The sequence below is a fragment of the Homo sapiens genome, chromosome 6, assembly GCF_000001405.40.
Source record: "Homo sapiens chromosome 6, GRCh38.p14 Primary Assembly".
Lineage (NCBI taxonomy): Eukaryota > Metazoa > Chordata > Mammalia > Primates > Hominidae > Homo > Homo sapiens.
In genome coordinates this window covers 170,458,599-170,475,856 of record NC_000006.12, presented here as the reverse complement: position 1 = coordinate 170,475,856, position 17,258 = coordinate 170,458,599, and the positions used below count along the sequence as shown (strand labels likewise).

The following is a 17,258-nucleotide window of genomic DNA, read 5'->3' as shown; positions in this document are numbered from 1 at the left end:
ACATACATTTTAACATAAATTTACTTGGAATGTTATTTATTTGTCAAATTGTATAGCACACATATGCTCTTTTGTTCAAGTATATATTACTAACAAGTTAGTACTGATGTAATGATCGTGCAATTCAGAATAAATTTCTTATGTTTAGAATAGGGTCAGATTCTTAATTTAGTGTGTTCATGAACTTGAATGAAAAAATTACATTTTTTCCCACTAACCTCTAAGTGAAAGTTAGCATTTCCTTCCATTATACATGCAAGCAATAAATGGTAGCGGTCTTAAAGTGTCTGTGACTTTGTCACCAAGAGAAATCAGAGATAGTTTCTATCACATTATAATTGTTGCAGATAACTTGAAACATCGTTTCTGCTTAGCATTGCTTCAAAGTTGCAATAGTTACTGGACTTACATATTGTTACTAGGATTAACAAACTAGACCTTGTTAATGTGTGTGTGTGGGAAAAACTCTCCTCAAACCGTGTTTCTCCTCTGCTCTCACACCACAGCAGTCATCAGCACAGAAGCCTTCTGTGGCCAAATGTGTGGGGTTTTCCCCACACACCTAGCAGCTGATGCCAGCTGAGTGTGCTCTGGTGTTCTGACACCATCTTCCCAGAGTTAGCATCAGATATCACAGGTTGAGGGCTCAGTCCCCAAGACTGCCGGCCCCCTGCACCAGTCACAGGCCCAGGCTTCTGGAACTTCCAACAGGCTGCCTTCAAGTTGGGCTTCCCATGGCTCCCTCTTTGGGTTCGATTAATTTGCTGGAGGAGCTCATAGAACTCAGAGAAACACGTTAACTGATTTATTGTAAAGGATATTGCTATTGCAAAGGATACAGATGAAGAGACAGGTAGGTCAAGATATAGGGGAAAGGACACAGAGCTTCTAAGGTAGGTCAAGGTACAGGGAAGGGACACAGAGCTTCTAAGGTAGGTCAAGGTGTAGGGAAGGGACACAGAGCTTCTAAGGTAGGTCAAGGTGTAGGGAAGGGACACAGAGCTTCTAAGGTAGGTCAAGGTGTAGGGAAGGGACACAGAGCTTCTAAGGTAGGTCAAGGTGTAGGGAAGGGACACAGAGCTTCTAAGGTAGGTCAAGGTGTAGGGAAGGGACACAGAGCTTCTATGCCCTTCCTGGGTGTCACCCTCCAGGAACCTCCAAATGTTCAGCTCTCTGGAAGCTCCCGGATCCCAGTCCTCTAGGGTTTTTATGGAAGCTTCAAGACATCAGCATGACTTCCCACAGGCTATAGGGGGTCTTGCTTCATGGGAGGGTCTTAGACCCACAACCAGAAAGGCAGGGAAGATTAGAATCCTCCCTTGGGACAGAACTCTAATCTGAAAGGGGGCAAGAGGTCAGAGGCTGCCCCTGAGACCTAACACAGCCAAGGTTATAACAAAAGACTGTAACAAGAGGCGTGGGAGTTATGAGCCAGGAGCCTTGTACGAAAACCGGTATCTATCATACCAGCACGATGTGTTAAAGAGGCACATGTGTGACTGTACCATGATTAAGCTCATTTGATGGGTGTATTTTGGTACACTTGTTTTCCTTTTTGATCTTGTGTATTTTACTTTCTGCATTTAAGGACATTATTCTGAGAAGAGGTCTATGGGTTTCACCAGATCACCAAAGGGATCCATGGCAAAAATTTAAAAAACACAAAATTAGTGGCTTACGGTCACAATATATTTTTTTAAATGAATTTTTTATTGAGGTGAAATTAAAGAAACATAACATTAACCATTTCAAAGGATAAAATTCAGACACATGTAACACATTTATAGTGTAGAATTCGGCCACACTCAGCACATTTACAGTGTAGAATTCGGCCGCACTCAGCACATTTACAGTGTAGAATTCGGCCGCACTCAGCACATTTACAGTGTAGAATTCAGCCACATGCTACGCTAGGAACCCACCTAGGAGGGGGTTCCTAGGTTCCCAGTTATAAGAATTCTCTTAGGGAGTGAAGCAGAGTTTTATTTCAAAATGGGGGTGCTTCCTAGTTTTAAGAATTCTCTTAGGGGCACAAGCAGAGGAGTTTTATTTCTGTGTGTGTGTGGTGGGCTCCAGGTTTTCAGAATTCTCTTGCAGGGTGCATGCAGGGTTTTGTTTCAGGCAGCTGTGTAGAGATCCAGGAGGGTCACTGCCTTGCAGCACCTTTTTGTTCACTCACCAGCTAAACTTTGTTTCCCAAGCAACTGCTGTACGTCAGGCATTCTGCCAGGTGCAGAAACAGAGCTGAGCTCGTGGCCGGGTCCTGTGGTTGCTCCTGGAGGAAAGGGGGCCTGAATATTGGATGGAAAAAGTCTTATGAGGAGCCTGGAAAAGAACCTGTCAAGTTCAACTGTGAGCACCAGAGCCTGGGCAGGCAGAGAGACAAGATGGGGCAGCTGGCAGAGGAGCAGCATCTCTGCCCTTGGCAGTGTGAGCATCTGTCTGTCAGCAGCTGCCTCTGGTGGAAGCCTGCAGGCAGCTTGTACCTCCTGGCAGTGGGAGGAGACACCCAGCACTAAGTGTCAGCCACGGAGGGAACTGTCAGTGAAGGAAGGAGGGATGTGACTTCAGTGACATCTGTTCAACCTTCTCCAAGGCCTGAAAAAGAAGGAGCCATATAGCTTAGAAAGACAGGGCTCTAGGAAAGGATGGGAATTAGGGCATTCAATAGAGTCCCAGAAAAACTGGACATGTGAATTGAGGAGCAGGCACAGCCCTGCAGGAAGTAGGTGAGGCAGGCAGGTGGAGTGAGCAGCTTTGCAGAAGTGGTCGCAGTGCAACCTTCAGGGTCTACATACAGATACATCTCGGCATTTACAGTGTGTGTTTTGTAGGATTTTTAAAATTGATTTTGGCCGGGTGTGGTGGCTCAAGCCTGTAATCCTAGGACTTTGGGAGGCCAAGGTGGGTGGATCACGAGGTTAGGAGTACGAGACCAGCCTGGCCAACATAGAGAAACCTCATCTCTACTAAAAATACAAAACAATTAGCTGGGCGTGGTCGTTGGTACCTGTAATCTCAGCTACTCAGGAGGCTGAGGCAGGAGAATCGCTTGAACCCGGGAGGCGGAGGTTGCAGTGAGCCAAGATCACGCCACTGCACTCCAGCCTGGGTGACAGTGCCAGACTCCATCTCAAAAAACAAAATAAAATAAAATAAAATTGATTTTCCTTCTTAAAATAACTTTGTGGCAAGATAAAGTGCCCTGTATTTCATATATTTCCAGGAATGCTGGGAAACGAGGAGAAACACTATGCTTTTCACAGCATCACAGACGGTACTGGACCCTTCCTATCAATGGGACCATTTCAGGGCTGCCACTTGGCCAGGGCATCGCAGTGGGCTGTTGGATCAGACCGAGAGGCACCAATTCAAACGCCCCCGGCAAGAACCTATGTCAGGTGGATGGGATGGTTATAAACGGCAGAGCTATGCCTGCTATCAAGGATTAGAATGAAAATATCTGAGCAGCCTCAGCAGACAGTAGCTGGTGGCACCTCAGGAGACCGGAAAAGCCCTACCTGCCAGGACCCCTAGACCCAGCCCTTGCCTGTCTTGAAACAGCAAAGGGAGTGATCTTGGGGACACCAGAACAGTCTGCTTGCAGAGATTAGGAACAGGACAGCTTATTCCAGTCAAACAGCGAGACTAAAAGTGAGTCTAAGGCTCCAGCCTCTCCAGATTCCTCCTGGCCCACGCATGAACATGGTCTCCGTGGCCATCGATTCTTCTGAGCCCACCTCCTCCACGTGAGTACACACGCTTGTCTACCTATGGTCTGTGAAAGTGCACAGACTTTGGGTCAAACAGATTTGAGTGTAGAGTCTGGCTTAGAATTCCAGACCCAGCTCTTCTTCACTGTGTGATTTGGGGCAAAATAACCTGGCCTCTGGAAGCCTGAGTTTTTCATCTGTAAAATGAAAGCAGCACTATTTTTCACTACGATGTGCCAGCACACCACCCATCTAGACCCTAAACAAGGTGGACCCCAGCTGGCTCCCTGGTGACCAGCTCCAAAATGCCTTCCTTTGGACTTCACGTTCTGTGAGAGAACGCAAACCCTGACATCTGGTTTCATCCAGTTCCTTAGCTTTTCAGTGACAGGCAGCTGAACTCAATTGTTAATTGACTGATCTCCATTGCATAGGGTTACTGTGAAGCGCATATGAGATCACAGCTGTTAAAGTGCCAAACCACGTGACTTATTTAGGACTCCTGACTTTCCTAATGTTGCATGGAGGATATTTAATCATAAAACAGTTAAATCTGGCATAGTGGGCTACCAAGAAGAAGGCAGGGTTCCGCTTACCATACTGAGAGAGGGATTGAGGCAGAAACTCCCTGGAACTATGGGCAGCAACAAAGGAGGGAGGGCAGGTCACCTGTGCAGAAGAACATGCACACACACAGGCATGCACACATATTTGTACACGGGCACACTCATCTGCACACACACATGCACGCATACGTGCACACCCTCCAGCACACATGTGTTCAGATCATGCTCTCATTTACACGTGCACACGGGCATGCACACTCATGCACATGTACTGTTGACTCTATCTTGAGCTTACACATCAAAGCCACGATCTGGTTCAGTACTTACTTGTTTATTGATATTCCATTTAGCATTTACCAAGTACCTTCTATGTAACTTGGCTAGGCAGTCTTTTTTTCTCAAACAAAATCCAGTACAAATCCTCCCTCATCCATGAAATCTTTCTGGATTCTCCAATGGGATTGAACTAATCCTCATAGAACTTTCCATGTGCCCCTGCTTGTCACGAATTTCATTTACCTTCAGAGTAAAATTGTTGCACATACTTCTGTTTCCTTAAGTGGCTGTGGGAGCTGACATTCTAGGCCCCAGTGAAAAGGTCTGGTCCTGAAACTGCGTCTCAGTTCTTGGCTTGAGAAAAGCACAGCTGGTTAGAAGTGCTTACACCACGGAGGCATGAAGAGGACGTGAGGGTGGCTCATTTTAAAAGCAATGCGTTTATCTTATCTTCCAGTGCAGAGAGAGAGAGAATCCCCTGCTTAGAGCACAGAAGCTGGTGCACCGTCCTGTGCCGCATTGTCCTCTGGCTGCCTGCCTGGGGAGACCCCTCTCCCCTCTCCTTCCTGAACGCAGGCACGAGGATTTGTACATACGTGCACATAAATATGGTATTTCCCAGAGGGCCTGGCATAAACATTCTTAATATGTGCTTGTTATATTGCAGTGAACTAACACCCACAGTCAGTCAGGAAACAAAGTGCATTGCATGTTACCTGGGGAACAGTCAGCAGAACCTTGATTTTACCTGGAGAGTCTGGGGCTGCACTTTTGGCACGTGGGAGTTCCCACAGCTACCAGTCCAGGAATCCCAGGGTGACTGCCATTTTCCAAGGGTTACATCCCCCAAATATGTCACAAAACATGTTTAAACAAATACCTTGGCTTCTGCTTTTTTATCTATACAACAGTTCTCAACATGGCCACAGATTAGAATCAATCCTGATGCCTTTTTAGAGTGTACATTACCAGAGCCCCCAGGCTGACCGAGCCAGAACCATGCCTGAGGCCATAGCACGTCAGTGGTCTCAGAGCACACGGGAGATTCCGTGGCACCCTTAGGCCATAGCACGTCAGTGGTCTCAGAGCACACGGGAGATTCTGTGGGCCCCCGAGGCCATAGCACGTCAGTGGTCTCAGAGCACACGGGAGATTCCGTGGCACCCTGAGGCCATAGCACGTCAGTGGTCTCAGAGCACATGGGAGATTCTGGGCCCCCTGAGGCTGTAGCACGTCAGTGGTCTCAGAGCACACGGGAGATTCCGTGGCACCCTGAGGCCATAGCACGTCAGTGGTCTCAGAGCACATGGGAGATTCCGGGCCCCCTGAGGCCGTAGCACGTCAGTGGTCTCAGAGCACACGGGAGATTCCATGGCCCCCTGAGGCCATAGCACGTCAGTGGTCTCAGAGCACACGGGAGATTCCGTGTCACCGTGAGGCCATGCACGTCAGTGGTCTCAGAGCACACGGGAGATTCTGTGGGCCCCCGAGGCCATAGCACGTCAGTGGTCTCAGAGCACACAGGAGATTCCGTGGCACCCTGAGGCCATAGCACATCAGTGGTCTCAGAGCACATGGGAGATTCCGGGCCCCCTGAGGCCGTAGCACGTCAGTGGTCTCAGAGCACACGGGAGATTCCATGGCCCCCTGAGGCCATAGCACGTCAGTGGTCTCAGAGCACACGGGAGATTCCGTGTCACCGTGAGGCCATGCACGTCAGTGGTCTCAGAGCACACGGGAGATTCTGTGGGCCCCCGAGGCCATAGCACGTCAGTGGTCTCAGAGCACACGGGAGATTCCGTGGCACCCTGAGGCCATAGCACATCAGTGGTCTCAGAGCACATGGGAGATTCCGGGCCCCCTGAGGCCGTAGCACGTCAGTGGTCTCAGAGCACACGGGAGATTCCGTGGCACCCTGAGGCCATAGCACGTCAGTGGTCTCAGAGCACACGGGAGATTCCGTGGGCCCCCTGAGGCCAGAGCACGTCAGTGGTCTCAGAGCACACGGGAGATTCCGTGGCCCCCTGAGGCCAGAGCACGTCAGTGGTCTCAGAGCACACGGGAGATTCCGTGGCCCCCTGAGGCCATAGCACGTCAGCGGTCTCAGAGCACACGGGAGATTCTGTGGCCCCCTGGCTAGAACACTGGACCAGATGGTCTGCAGGTTCTCCTCTGAGTCTGATGGTCTTGTCTATGTTAAAATGTCTCGGCCGGGCACGGTGGCTCACGCCTGTAATCCCAGCACTTTGGGAGGCCGAGGCAGGTGGATCATGAGGTCAGGAGATCGAGAACATCCTGGCTAACAAGGTGAAACCCTGTCTCTACTAAAAATACAAAAAATTAGCCAGGCGCGGTGGCGGGCGCCTGTAGTCCCAGCTACTCGGGAAGCTGAGGCAGGAGAATGGCGTGAACCCGGGAAGCGGAGCTTGCAGTGAGCCGAGATTGCGCCACTGCAGTCCGCAGTCCGGCCTGGGCGACAGAGCGAGACTCCGTCTCAAAAAAAAAAAAAAAAAAGTCTCCAAAGAAGATAAGTTTTAACTCATTTAAATAAATATAAGCTACATAGCACTTTGAATAGAGGGAAGGGCTGCGTCCCCCAAACAGTCATCCAGCATAGACATACTGCAGCCCCAAAGCCATCGCCAGTCACCCCTTGGGCTTTATTTGCTGAAAAGCATTGGCATTTGCTGAGATGGTTGTGCACCCATCTGTACCCAGAGAAGCTTGTCAGCCACTCTGAGCCTTTCTGAAGCAACTCGGCCCCAAAGGGAAGACTCCTCCTGTGTTTGGTCGTGGGTCTTCTGAGGAGGCTGAGGAATAATGTGGGAGAAAGGAAAGAAGAAGCAACCTCCGATTCAGGGTTTCTGTTCATAACAACATTCTCCCCAGAAGAAGGAGGGGGAATTGGATAGCTTTGGGAACCAGTAATGGGATAGGGAATTTTTAAAACCTGTATAGACCACCTGTTTGAAACTGTCTCACAGGACACGGGGACCAAAAGCCACTGTCGCCTGACAGCTGCTTGGTGGGAGACACGAAATGAACAGGGTCTCATTTTAGTGCCCGGAGGGACCGGTGTGCCACGGTCAGAGCACACTCTCAGCTGGCACCTCTGTGGACAGAGTCCAGGGTGGCCATCCTTCACGCTATTTAATTCGTTTGCTTGTCACAGGAGTGGTTACGGAGCAAAGCTCACAGTAGGGTGCTGAGGGGTCGATGACAGCAGCTTCTGCAGTCTCAGCACAGGGTGCATCTGGATCAGAGCCTGGGCACATCTAAATTATGCCTGTTTTGGAAACTGGCTGCACTTTCTCCTCCTCCCTGTCTGTGGAGCGAGGCCCAGTTCTGGCGTGGGATGTAGGCAGATTCTTCTGCAGGGGGCACCTGCTCCATCTACAGCTAAAGGGTGGACCTACCTGAAAGTTTTGTCACTGTGACTCAGACCACTAAGATGCTGCTCTTCGATGTGCCAACACGAAGGGGTAAATGGTGTGGGTGTCAGTCAGTCAGGCTGTAAATGGTGTGGGTGTCAGTCAGTCAGGCTGTAAATGGTGTGTGTGTCAGTCAGTCAGGCTGTAAATGGTGTGGGTGTCAGTCAGGCTGTAAATGGTGTGGGTGTCAGTCAGTCAGGCTGTAAATGGTGTGGGTGTCAGTCAGGCTGTAAATGGTGTGGGTGTCAGTCAGTCAGGCTGTAAAGGGTGTGGGTGTCAGTCAGTCAGGCTGTAAATGGTGGGGGTGTCAGTCAGTCAGGCTGTAAAGGGTGTGGGTGTCAGTCAGTCAGGCTGTAAATGGTGTGGGTGTCAGTCAGGCTGTAAATGGTGTGGGTGTCAGTCAGTCAGGCTGTAAATGGTGTGGGTGTCAGTCAGCCTGTAAATGGTGTGGGTGTCAGTCAGTCAGGCTGTAAAGGGTGTGGGTGTCAGTCAGTCAGGCTGTAAATGGTGTGGGTGTCAGTCAGTCAGGCTGTAAAGGGTGTGGGTGTCAGTCAGGCTGTAAATGGTGTGGGTGTCAGTCAGCCTGTAAATGGTGTGGGTGTCAGTCAGTCAGGCTGTAAACGGTGTGGGTGTCAGTCAGTCAGGCTGTAAATGGTGTGGGTGTCAGTCAGTCAGGCTGTAAACGGTGTGGGTGTCAGTCAGTCAGGCTGTAAATGGTGTGGGTGTCAGTCAGGCTATAAATGGTGTGGGTGTCAGTCAGTCAGGCTGTAAACGGTGTGGGTGTCAGTCAGGCTGTAAATGGTGTGGGTGTCAGTCAGGCTGTAAATGGTGTGGGTGTCAGTCAGTCAGGCTGTAAATGGTGTGGGTGTCAGTCAGGCTATAAATGGTGTGGGTGTCAGTCAGGCTGTAAATGGTGTGGGTGTCAGTCAGTCAGGCTGTAAATGGTGTGGGTGTCAGTCAGTCAGGCTGTAAATGGTGTGGGTGTCAGTCAGGCTATAAATGGTGTGGGTGTCAGTCAGTCAGGCTGTAAATGGTGTGGGTGTCAGTCAGTCAGGCTGTAAATGGTGTGGGTGTCAGTCAGGCTGTAAATGGTGTGGGTGTCAGTCAGGCTATAAATGGTGTGGGTGTCAGTCAGTCAGGCTGTAAACGGTGTGGGTGTCAGTCAGTCAGGCTGTAAATGGTGTGGGTGTCAGTCAGGCTGTAAACGGTGTGGGTGTCAGTCAGGCTGTAAATGGTGTGGGTGTCAGTCAGGCTATAAATGGTGTGGGTGTCAGTCAGTCAGGCTGTAAATGGTGTGGGTGTCAGTCAGTCAGGCTGTAAAGGGTGTGGGTGTCAGTCAGGCTGTAAATGGTGTGGGTGTCAGTCAGCCTGTAAATGGTGTGGGTGTCAGTCAGTCAGGCTGTAAACGGTGTGGGTGTCAGTCAGTCAGGCTGTAAATGGTGTGGGTGTCAGTCAGTCAGGCTGTAAACGGTGTGGGTGTCAGTCAGTCAGGCTGTAAATGGTGTGGGTGTCAGTCAGGCTGTAAATGGTGTGGGTGTCAGTCAGTCAGGCTGTAAATGGTGTGGGTGTCAGTCAGTCAGGCTGTAAATGGTGTGGGTGTCAGTCAGTCAGGCTGTAAATGGTGTGGGTGTCAGTCAGTCTATAAATGGTGTGTGTGTCAGTCAGTCAGTCTGTAAACGGTGTGTGTGTCAGTCAGGCTGTAAATGGTGTGGGTGTCAGTCAGTCAGGCTGTAAATGGTGTGGGTGTCAGTCAGTCAGCCTGTAAATGGTGTGGGTGTCAGTCAGTCAGGCTGTAAACGGTGTGGGTGTCAGTCAGTCAGGCTGTAAATGGTGTAGGTGTCAGTCAGTCAGGCTGTAAATGGTGTGGGCGTCAGTCAGTCAGGCTGTAAATGGTGTATCAGTCAGGTTGTACATGGTGTGGGTATCAGGCTGTAGGAAAACTGTTAGGAAAGCGATGACTCCATTGCAATGCTGTGTACATAGTTTTCATGTTGGCAGATGTTTGAATAAAAATGGTCTATTCTAGGAAATATTTTTCTATTAACAACCATCTCATTACTTCACGGCATATACAAGCTATTATAGGGATAATTTCTTGTAGACAAAAACCCAGTTGTTCCTGAAATGGTATTTTATAGGGTTTAGGATGCAGGATTCAGGCAGCCCACCTGGAATATGCTGTGTGAGGAACAAAAGATCCAGCTGCTCAGACTTATTGCTGCAAAAACATTAACCAAAATGAGCAGAAACAGCTACCAAAACATCATTTGAAGAGTTTCAGGCAAAATATTGTTCTACAACAGTGGCTAAGTCACAGGCAATATTATATCAAGCATAAAATCTTTACTAGCCTCCTAATAACAGCCTCCAGCCACCATTTTAGAGATTTATCTGAGTGAATGCACTCATTTCACGTAGACGAGGGGCTAGAGATACCTGTGGGAATGGCCAGTGCAGTTGCTCTCGTTAAAGCAAAGTCAGTTTCACGGGAAAAGTTCAGGAAACTCGGCTGCCTATAGAAATCCCTGTGGATCCACTCCAGCTACTAGCTTCAGTTTCTCACATCTTGACGTATCCACCCATTCACAACAGCGTCCCCGTCTCCCTCTTTCTCCTTCAAGATGGCTCCGCCTGGTGAAGGCCTATCAGTCAGCCTCGGAATCTCGCTTGCAGCCTCACCCTCTGGCTGCAGAGCTGTGCTGGGAGCACATAATCGGGGAGTGGGTGAGAGAAGGGGGAGCTCCGGGCCCTTCTGGGGCCTTGGTGACACCCAGTCAGCTTGTGGAAAGCAGGATCAGAGGCCTCAAGCCAAGGAACTGTGAAAAAAGGACCCAGTGGGATGTGAATTCCACAAACGCCTTCTGTAATGTAGGAAGGGAGACACCTTTTGTCTTGTTACCCCTATGGTGGCTTGGGGCCACCTTGTGAAAGTTCAAGCTCACTCACCTTTGCAGATGATGCCGCAGCCAACACAGTCCTCCACACCTTGGGCCCCCTCCACCACCAGCAGGTGTGAATTCCCGTCCTCTGAGGGCAGTTATGGGGCTGAGCAGCAGAAGGCCAGGGCGCTGGCCCCTTTGATCTCTGACACTCCTCAGGGCCATTTGTGAGCAGAGTGGGAGGAAGGTGGAGAGGCCCTACTTCTCAGCCAGGTGTTGATGGCTTAGCTCCATGAATCCCTGAGTTCACAAAGGAGGAAGGCAGGAGCCAGCCCTGTGAAGCACAGACCGGCCTGCACGGTGTTGATGGTCTCTCAGGGCGTGGGCGGGGAAACCCCCTAACTCTCCCAGAGAGAGGAGGGGTGAGGGCCAAACCTCCTGTTTCACACTTTAACACTCTTGTTTTATGTGGGAACCTCTCTCTCTTACAGCTTTGTTTTTTAACCATTCATGGGCTCTCATGAGTACACTGGTGGGGATTTGTGAGGGAAGGAATCCAAAAAGGTCCTTCAATCCAGCCTGCTGCCTCTTGGCAGAACCACACTTCTCAGGGATCTGGGGCTGAGGCGAGTCAGACGGCGGGTGCAGAGCAGCACGGTGCCCCCTTCCTCAAGTGGGAGGCTTGAGAACCTGCTGGCTGCCCCAGTCGGCCGCACGGAGGGGAGAGGGCATGGGAACTGCACATAGCTATAGGATCAGGCTCAGGCATCTGGGGTGCGGGTGAACTGTGTGAACCCAGTGCTGCTCACAAGACACCCAGGGCTACCCTGTGAGGGGTTCAGAAAGACAGGCAGGCTGCTTTGGCCTGGGTGACAAAGAATTTGGGCCTCTAAGCAAAACGATAGGAAAAAGGCTGCTTTCCTCTTGCAGGCTGAAAAATACCATTGAAAAGGGGCCCCTTTTCTCCTCCTGCCCTGATAAGTTTTCCCACAGTCTACCATGGAGGGTCTCATGAGCCTGGCTGAGGTCCCCAGAAGCCTCCTCTCCTTGCACCCCTGACTGCCCCCTCCACTATAACTATATTTCCTGCAAAGCCCACCCCATGCTGATTTGTAACTTGCTTCCATTTCTATAAAAATCTGGGTGCAGGGGGCAGAGTGATTGGTACCTGTGCCAGCCCCCTCCTCCCAGTTGTCCCTAGAGCTAGACCCTCTTCAAGAAGAACACCTGAGTCCTTCTCCCAGGCTGGGCCGGGGCAGGCAGGTGCTGATCCAGGAAGACACCTGTGGTTGTCCTCGAAGCCACATTGCTCTGGCCAAGGCCACTGGTCACTGAGCTGGGCTTCCCCTTCAACCAGACAACCTCAGCACGGGGGCCAGCATGCAGCCAATGCCTCTCCTTACCGACTGGGTGTCACCCTCCCCTGGTCCCGACAAGCCTCCCCAGACCAGGCCCAGCCTCCACAGCCTCCCCAGACCAGGCCCAGCCTCCCCAGACCAGGCCCAGCCTCCGCAGCCTCCGCAGCCGCTTCTTCCCTCCGCTCTTCCACTTCTCACCAGTCCCTCCAGGTCCAGCTCAGGCACCGCTTCTGCCCCTCCCGCCCCTGCCTGCTGAGCACCTCCCCTGACTGCCCCAGGCAGGCCTTGTTCCCTGGCTCCTTTGGAGATGAGTTGTTGGTGAACGTTACAGCTAACGTCTGTGTGGCCATCACCACTTTATGCACCCAGATGATCTCACCATCCCCACACCAGAGTGTGTGCGTGGCTAGGTGCTTTGCAATGTTCGCTGATTGGAGGCCTCCGTTCCAAACACGCCCGATGTGGAGGTCACCGTTCCAAACACGCCCGATGTGGAGGTCACCGTTCCAAACCTGCCCGATGCTCCAGGTGGACCCCCTGGTTGTGAGGGGTGCCCGGCGAGCTCTGAGCCTGCCCACCAGGGCCAGTGAAGGTTATGGCACAGCACCAGCCCCCTCCCCATCACTTCCCCCTCGCTGGCTTCTGCCTCAGTTTTCTCCCACTTCTGTCCTCCTCAGAGCCTTGGTCTGGGCAGTGTTCTGTCAACACCTACATGAGCAGCTCCAGCCCAGCAGACATCCAGTCTCTCCATAAAAGGAGCTGGCACCTGCTCCTCACGATGGGCACGTGGCCCCCCCTATTTCAGAGACTATGAAGGTAGGCGGGAGTTGAATGGCTAGCTCTTGAGCAGCTCCTATGTGGTAGGCCCAGATCCCAGCCCAAGCAGCCCCAAGGCAGGAATGCAGGTCCCTTAGGGATCCAAGCTCCATTTCCCTTCCTGCTTTGACTCCAGGGCTTCCACTCCCAGGACCTCTCACTGCTGAGAATCTCATTTCAGAGTGACTGCTGGGTTGAGGGGCATTATGTAAATGCTTTGATAATAACATGTAAGGTGTGGGGGGGACGGAGGGAGGAGGAAGAGCTAAAGGGTGCTCTGTGGTGTCTGCACATCCTGGTGCTGCTGGTCTGTGCTTGTTACCCCCTCTCTTTGTAGGACTTCCTGGTTTGTATGATACACACAGCCTACTTTTAAAAAGCCACCCGAAGTCCTACAAACACCACGGTTGATGCTCATTGGTGGACTTACCTTGTGGCCACAACCAGCTGCAGGGAGGTGGAAGGTGGGGGCTGGCCTGGGCTCCTGGCCTTGACCGTCTTCAGGAGTCTCGGTGACTGGGGCTGTGGCCGGACCACCTGCTGGATGGTGGTTTCCATTTTGTCTGCCTGGTCCTCTCCACAGGGCAGCCGTCGGGTGACCAGCTTTGCTGTGCCAGCAGTGGTCAGGGCTGGTCCCAGGACCCAGGAGCCTGTGTCACCAAGCAGCCGGCCCTAGCCAGCCTGGGACTTTCTGGAGGATGTGTGCCAGCATCTCTCAGAGGACACTTTCTTCCTCTCCAGGAGCCTCAGCCCCTTCCCACTTCCTTCAGCTCCCAGACTCAGGTCCACCTCCACCCTGCTCTGCACCTGGGGAACAGCGAGGAGTGGGAGGCTGGGCCGGGCACCCCCAGCTCCGTTCCTGGGCCCCAGCCCCAAGCACCGCTTGGCTCCCATGGCCCTTGCTACTCACTCTGGGCCTGGCACCTCTACAGCCTCTTTTCCAAGCCCTCCCTCAGCCCCTGCCACCCGACGTGTGTCTGCTCCCCAGGACGGGACTTGGCTCTCACTTCTCTGCCTGCCGGCATCTCCCACCCTTCCCATGTCTCCGTCCTGAGCTGCCTCTTTCTCGTGCTCATCCTGGGCAGTGAGGTCATGGACCTGAGTGTGCCTGTCCTTTCTGCATTCCCTGCGGTGCAGCGCGGTGTGTGGCTTTTTATCCGAGTGCACCTGTTCCCCTGCATTCCTGGGTGGCGTTCTTCTCCTTTCCCTTCTTGGACCTTCAAAGCACGATTCTTCAGGTTCTTTCCAGGTCTTCGGGCCAGATCTGTGGAATCGTACTGTGATTTCTCAGAAGCTTTGTTTCATAAGACTGTTGGTTGTGTTAAAGGAGCATGATCTGTGAAGGTCGGTGACAAAAGAGGAAAGTGAAGGGAAGGGCACCCTGACACATGGCTCCTGAGAGGGGCATCCCCTCGGCAGCTGCAGAAGTGAGTGAGCGTAACTCCACTGCGAAGGGGTCTCAGCGTCTCTGAGCGGAGCTCCCCCAGCGCAGTTCCCCCAGCGCCACCTTGAAGGCGTGAGGGGCATGGGGTCAGGGGGTGAGGAGGGGCCCTTTGGCCTATTTGTGGGTGGACAGGAGCATGCTGAGAAGCCCCTTCCTGCATCTTTTTCTGTCTTCTGGTCATCACCAGGGGAGGGAGAGGGTGCTGGCCACAAACCACTTGATGCTGGGGGCTAACGGGAGCAGGTGTGGAGAGGGAAGCCCATTGAGCTCTTTGCCTGGTGGATGTTGCTATGAATTTTGGATTTTGATTATACGATGATAAAAATTACACAAAAATGCAAATGCTCTGCTATTCATTCAAATATGCAACAAATATTTGTGTACCCTCTATGTGCCAGATATTATGAATGTTGTATCTGCCATCATTTTTCTTAGAAAATTATTCAGCATTTCTTAGGCTACGCACGAGCTTAGTTATTCTTGACCTCCTAGGCATACCCAAACATTTAGTTAGTGCCTCAGGGCGCCTCATCTCCAGGCCTCTGATGTGCAGGCCCCCGGCCCCTGTGTTTTGTGGTCAGAGCACTCAGGAGCAGCCCCTTCGGTCTGAATGCATGCCATGTGAGTGTCTCATCTTTGCCATTAGGTACAAGGGATTCATACACATTTAACAGTTTATATATTTAATAGCTATTTTTCTAAGACGCTTAGCACAATGAACGCCAGCCACACAGGTCCCTGTGTGTTAAGGATGAGTGGAGGCCTCCATTTCCCACCCCCGTGCCCAAACCTGCAGTCATGATGCCTCTCTTGGGCGAGATCCGAACCCTAGGGGGCTTTTTGGGGTCCTCAGTGCTTCTCTGCTACCTCACTTGTTTCTGCTGAAATGGAAAACAAAGGAAGCTGTCTTCAGCAATAGGAGGGTACCAATTTGGTTTGAGGGCAAAGTGAAAGGTTCTTTGTGGCCCTAAAAACCACAGTAGGACCACTGAACTGTGGCTTTCCCAGGCCCCAGTGCATGCAAAGTCCTTGACACTCGAGTTGGAAAAAGTGGGGTATTAGGAGGAGGAAGTCTCAGCGCTCCTCTGTGGTCACTCACTGCTTCTCTCTCACTCCCTTTCTCCTTTTTCTCTCTCTGCGTCTCAGGCTTCAAGACCTCCGACATCTGGAGGCTCCATGCAAATCCCACCAAACGTGTGAAACTGCCTCAGTAGCCCACACGAAGTAGAATTGATAGGAAGTATGTGAGGGTTGAGGTGCACTGTGCTCATATGCATTGTGCTCATAGATGGGAAATTTTGTTTGTAAGCATTCAAATATCAATCGGATTTTTTACTTTCATATTTTGGAGAAAAGAATCTTTGCTCCAGTTCTTATGTATTTTTGGGAACCCTTGCAGAACTCATAGACCCCATAACCCTGGGGCACAGGGTTGGGGGTTAGACACCCCAAGGTCCTGTTTCCTGCTGAGGGACCTGGGCTAACGCCTCTGGCAACTCCTATTTCAAGCTTTAAATGAAGTGTTTCTTGGCTTCCCTTTCCTGCATTTGCTGTTCACAGAGTCCCCACCACCTTCAACTGTCACCTCATTTGCTCCACCAGGCACCGCTGAGATGGTCATCCTGCAAGAAAACTCTGATATTGTCACTCTTGTACATAAAGACTCCTGTGGCAGCACTTGCTTACTGTGAGGTCCAGCATGCGGCTGAGCCAGCAGGACTTTCACTTTCGGGTCTGACTCACATCCTCTCTTGTGTCCCCAGCCACCCCGACCCCCAGTGTGGGCATTCCCACTCATCGCTCTGTCCCCTTCACAACCTTGTGTCCCCGGCCACCCAGGATAGGGGCTCCTCCTGTGGGATAGGGGCTCCTCCTGTGGGATAGGGACTCCTCCTGTGGGATAGGGGCTCCTCCTGTGGCATAGGGACTCCTCCTGCAGGATATGAGCTCCTCTTACGGGATAGGGACTCCTCCTGTGGGATAGGGGCTCCTCCTGTGGGATAGGGGCTCCTCCTGTGGGATAGGGACTCCTATGGGATAGGGACTCCTCCTATGGGATAGTGGCTCCTCCTGTGGGATAGGGACTCCTCCTGTGGGATAGGGACTCCTCCTGCAGGATATGAGCTCCTCTTACGGGATAGGGACTCCTCCTGTGGGATAGGGGCTCCTCCTGTGGGATAGGGGCTCCTCCTGTGGGATAGGGACTCCTATGGGATAGGGACTCCTCCTATGGGATAGTGGCTCCTCCTGTGGGATAGGGACTCCTCCTGTGGGATAGGGGCTCCTCTTACGGGATAGGGACTCCTCCTGTGGGATAGGGGCTCCTCCTGTGGGATAGGGATTCCTCCTGTGGGATAGGGGCTCCTCCTGTGGGATAGGGGCTCCTCCTGTGGGATAGGGACTCCTCCTGTGGGATAGGGGCTCCTCCTGTGGCATAGGGACTCCTCCTGCAGGATATGAGCTCCTCTTACGGGATAAGGACTCCTCCTGTGGGATAGGGGCTCCTCCTGTGGGATAGGGGCTCCTCCTGTGGGATAGGGGCTCCTCCTGTGGGATAGGGGCTCCTCCTGTGGGATAGGGGCTCCTCCTGTGGGATAGGGATTCCTCCTGTGGGATAGGGGCTCCTCCTGTGGGATAGGGACTCCTCCTGTGGGATAGGGATTCCTCCTGTGGGATAGGGGCTCCTCCTGTGGGATAGGGACTCCTCCTGTGGGATAGGGGCTCCTCCTGTGGGATAGGGATTCCTCCTGTGGGATAGGGGCTCCTCCTGTGGGA

At 52.0% G+C, this 17,258-nt stretch overlaps 1 protein-coding gene and 2 long non-coding RNA genes across 3 annotated transcripts in view; all 3 read left to right on the top strand.

Moving 5' to 3' along the window:
• Positions 1 to 6,829, top strand: part of LOC105378157 (uncharacterized) — a 28,344-nt gene extending 21,515 nt beyond the window's left edge. Inside the window, exon 5 of the long non-coding RNA XR_001744492.2 lies at positions 3,227 to 6,829. This is a non-coding gene — a long non-coding RNA (uncharacterized LOC105378157). The remainder of the gene's footprint in view (positions 1 to 3,226) is intronic.
• Positions 6,830 to 7,074: 245 nt separating this feature from the next.
• LOC124901476 (uncharacterized) lies at positions 7,075 to 10,016 on the top strand. Its single transcript, XR_007059899.1, has 2 exons — positions 7,075 to 9,613; positions 9,823 to 10,016. It is a non-coding gene; the product is annotated as an uncharacterized LOC124901476 (long non-coding RNA).
• A 2,726-nt stretch (positions 10,017 to 12,742) lies between these two features.
• On the top strand, positions 12,743 to 16,526 carry LOC124901235 (uncharacterized). The gene is made up of 3 exons (XM_047419615.1): positions 12,743 to 12,815; positions 12,944 to 13,039; positions 13,623 to 16,526. Exons 1-3 carry the CDS (start codon positions 12,743 to 12,745, stop codon positions 14,372 to 14,374), a joined length of 921 nt encoding a protein of 306 aa, XP_047275571.1. The 3' UTR covers positions 14,375 to 16,526.
• Positions 16,527 to 17,258: the final 732 nt, after the last annotated feature.

What these genes read in the sequence shown, in the direction of transcription:
- LOC124901235 (XM_047419615.1), top strand. Translation starts at nt 12,743, where the DNA reads ATGCTCCAGGTGGACCCCCTGGTTGTGAGGGGTGCCCGGCGAGCTCTG. An exon ending in GCCCACCAGGGCCAGTGAAG is followed by an intron (nt 12,816 to 12,943) that starts GTTATGGCACAG and finishes CTACATGAGCAG; the next exon opens with CTCCAGCCCAGCAGACATCC. An exon ending in CTATTTCAGAGACTATGAAG is followed by an intron (nt 13,040 to 13,622) that starts GTAGGCGGGAGT and finishes TCCTCTCCACAG; the next exon opens with GGCAGCCGTCGGGTGACCAG.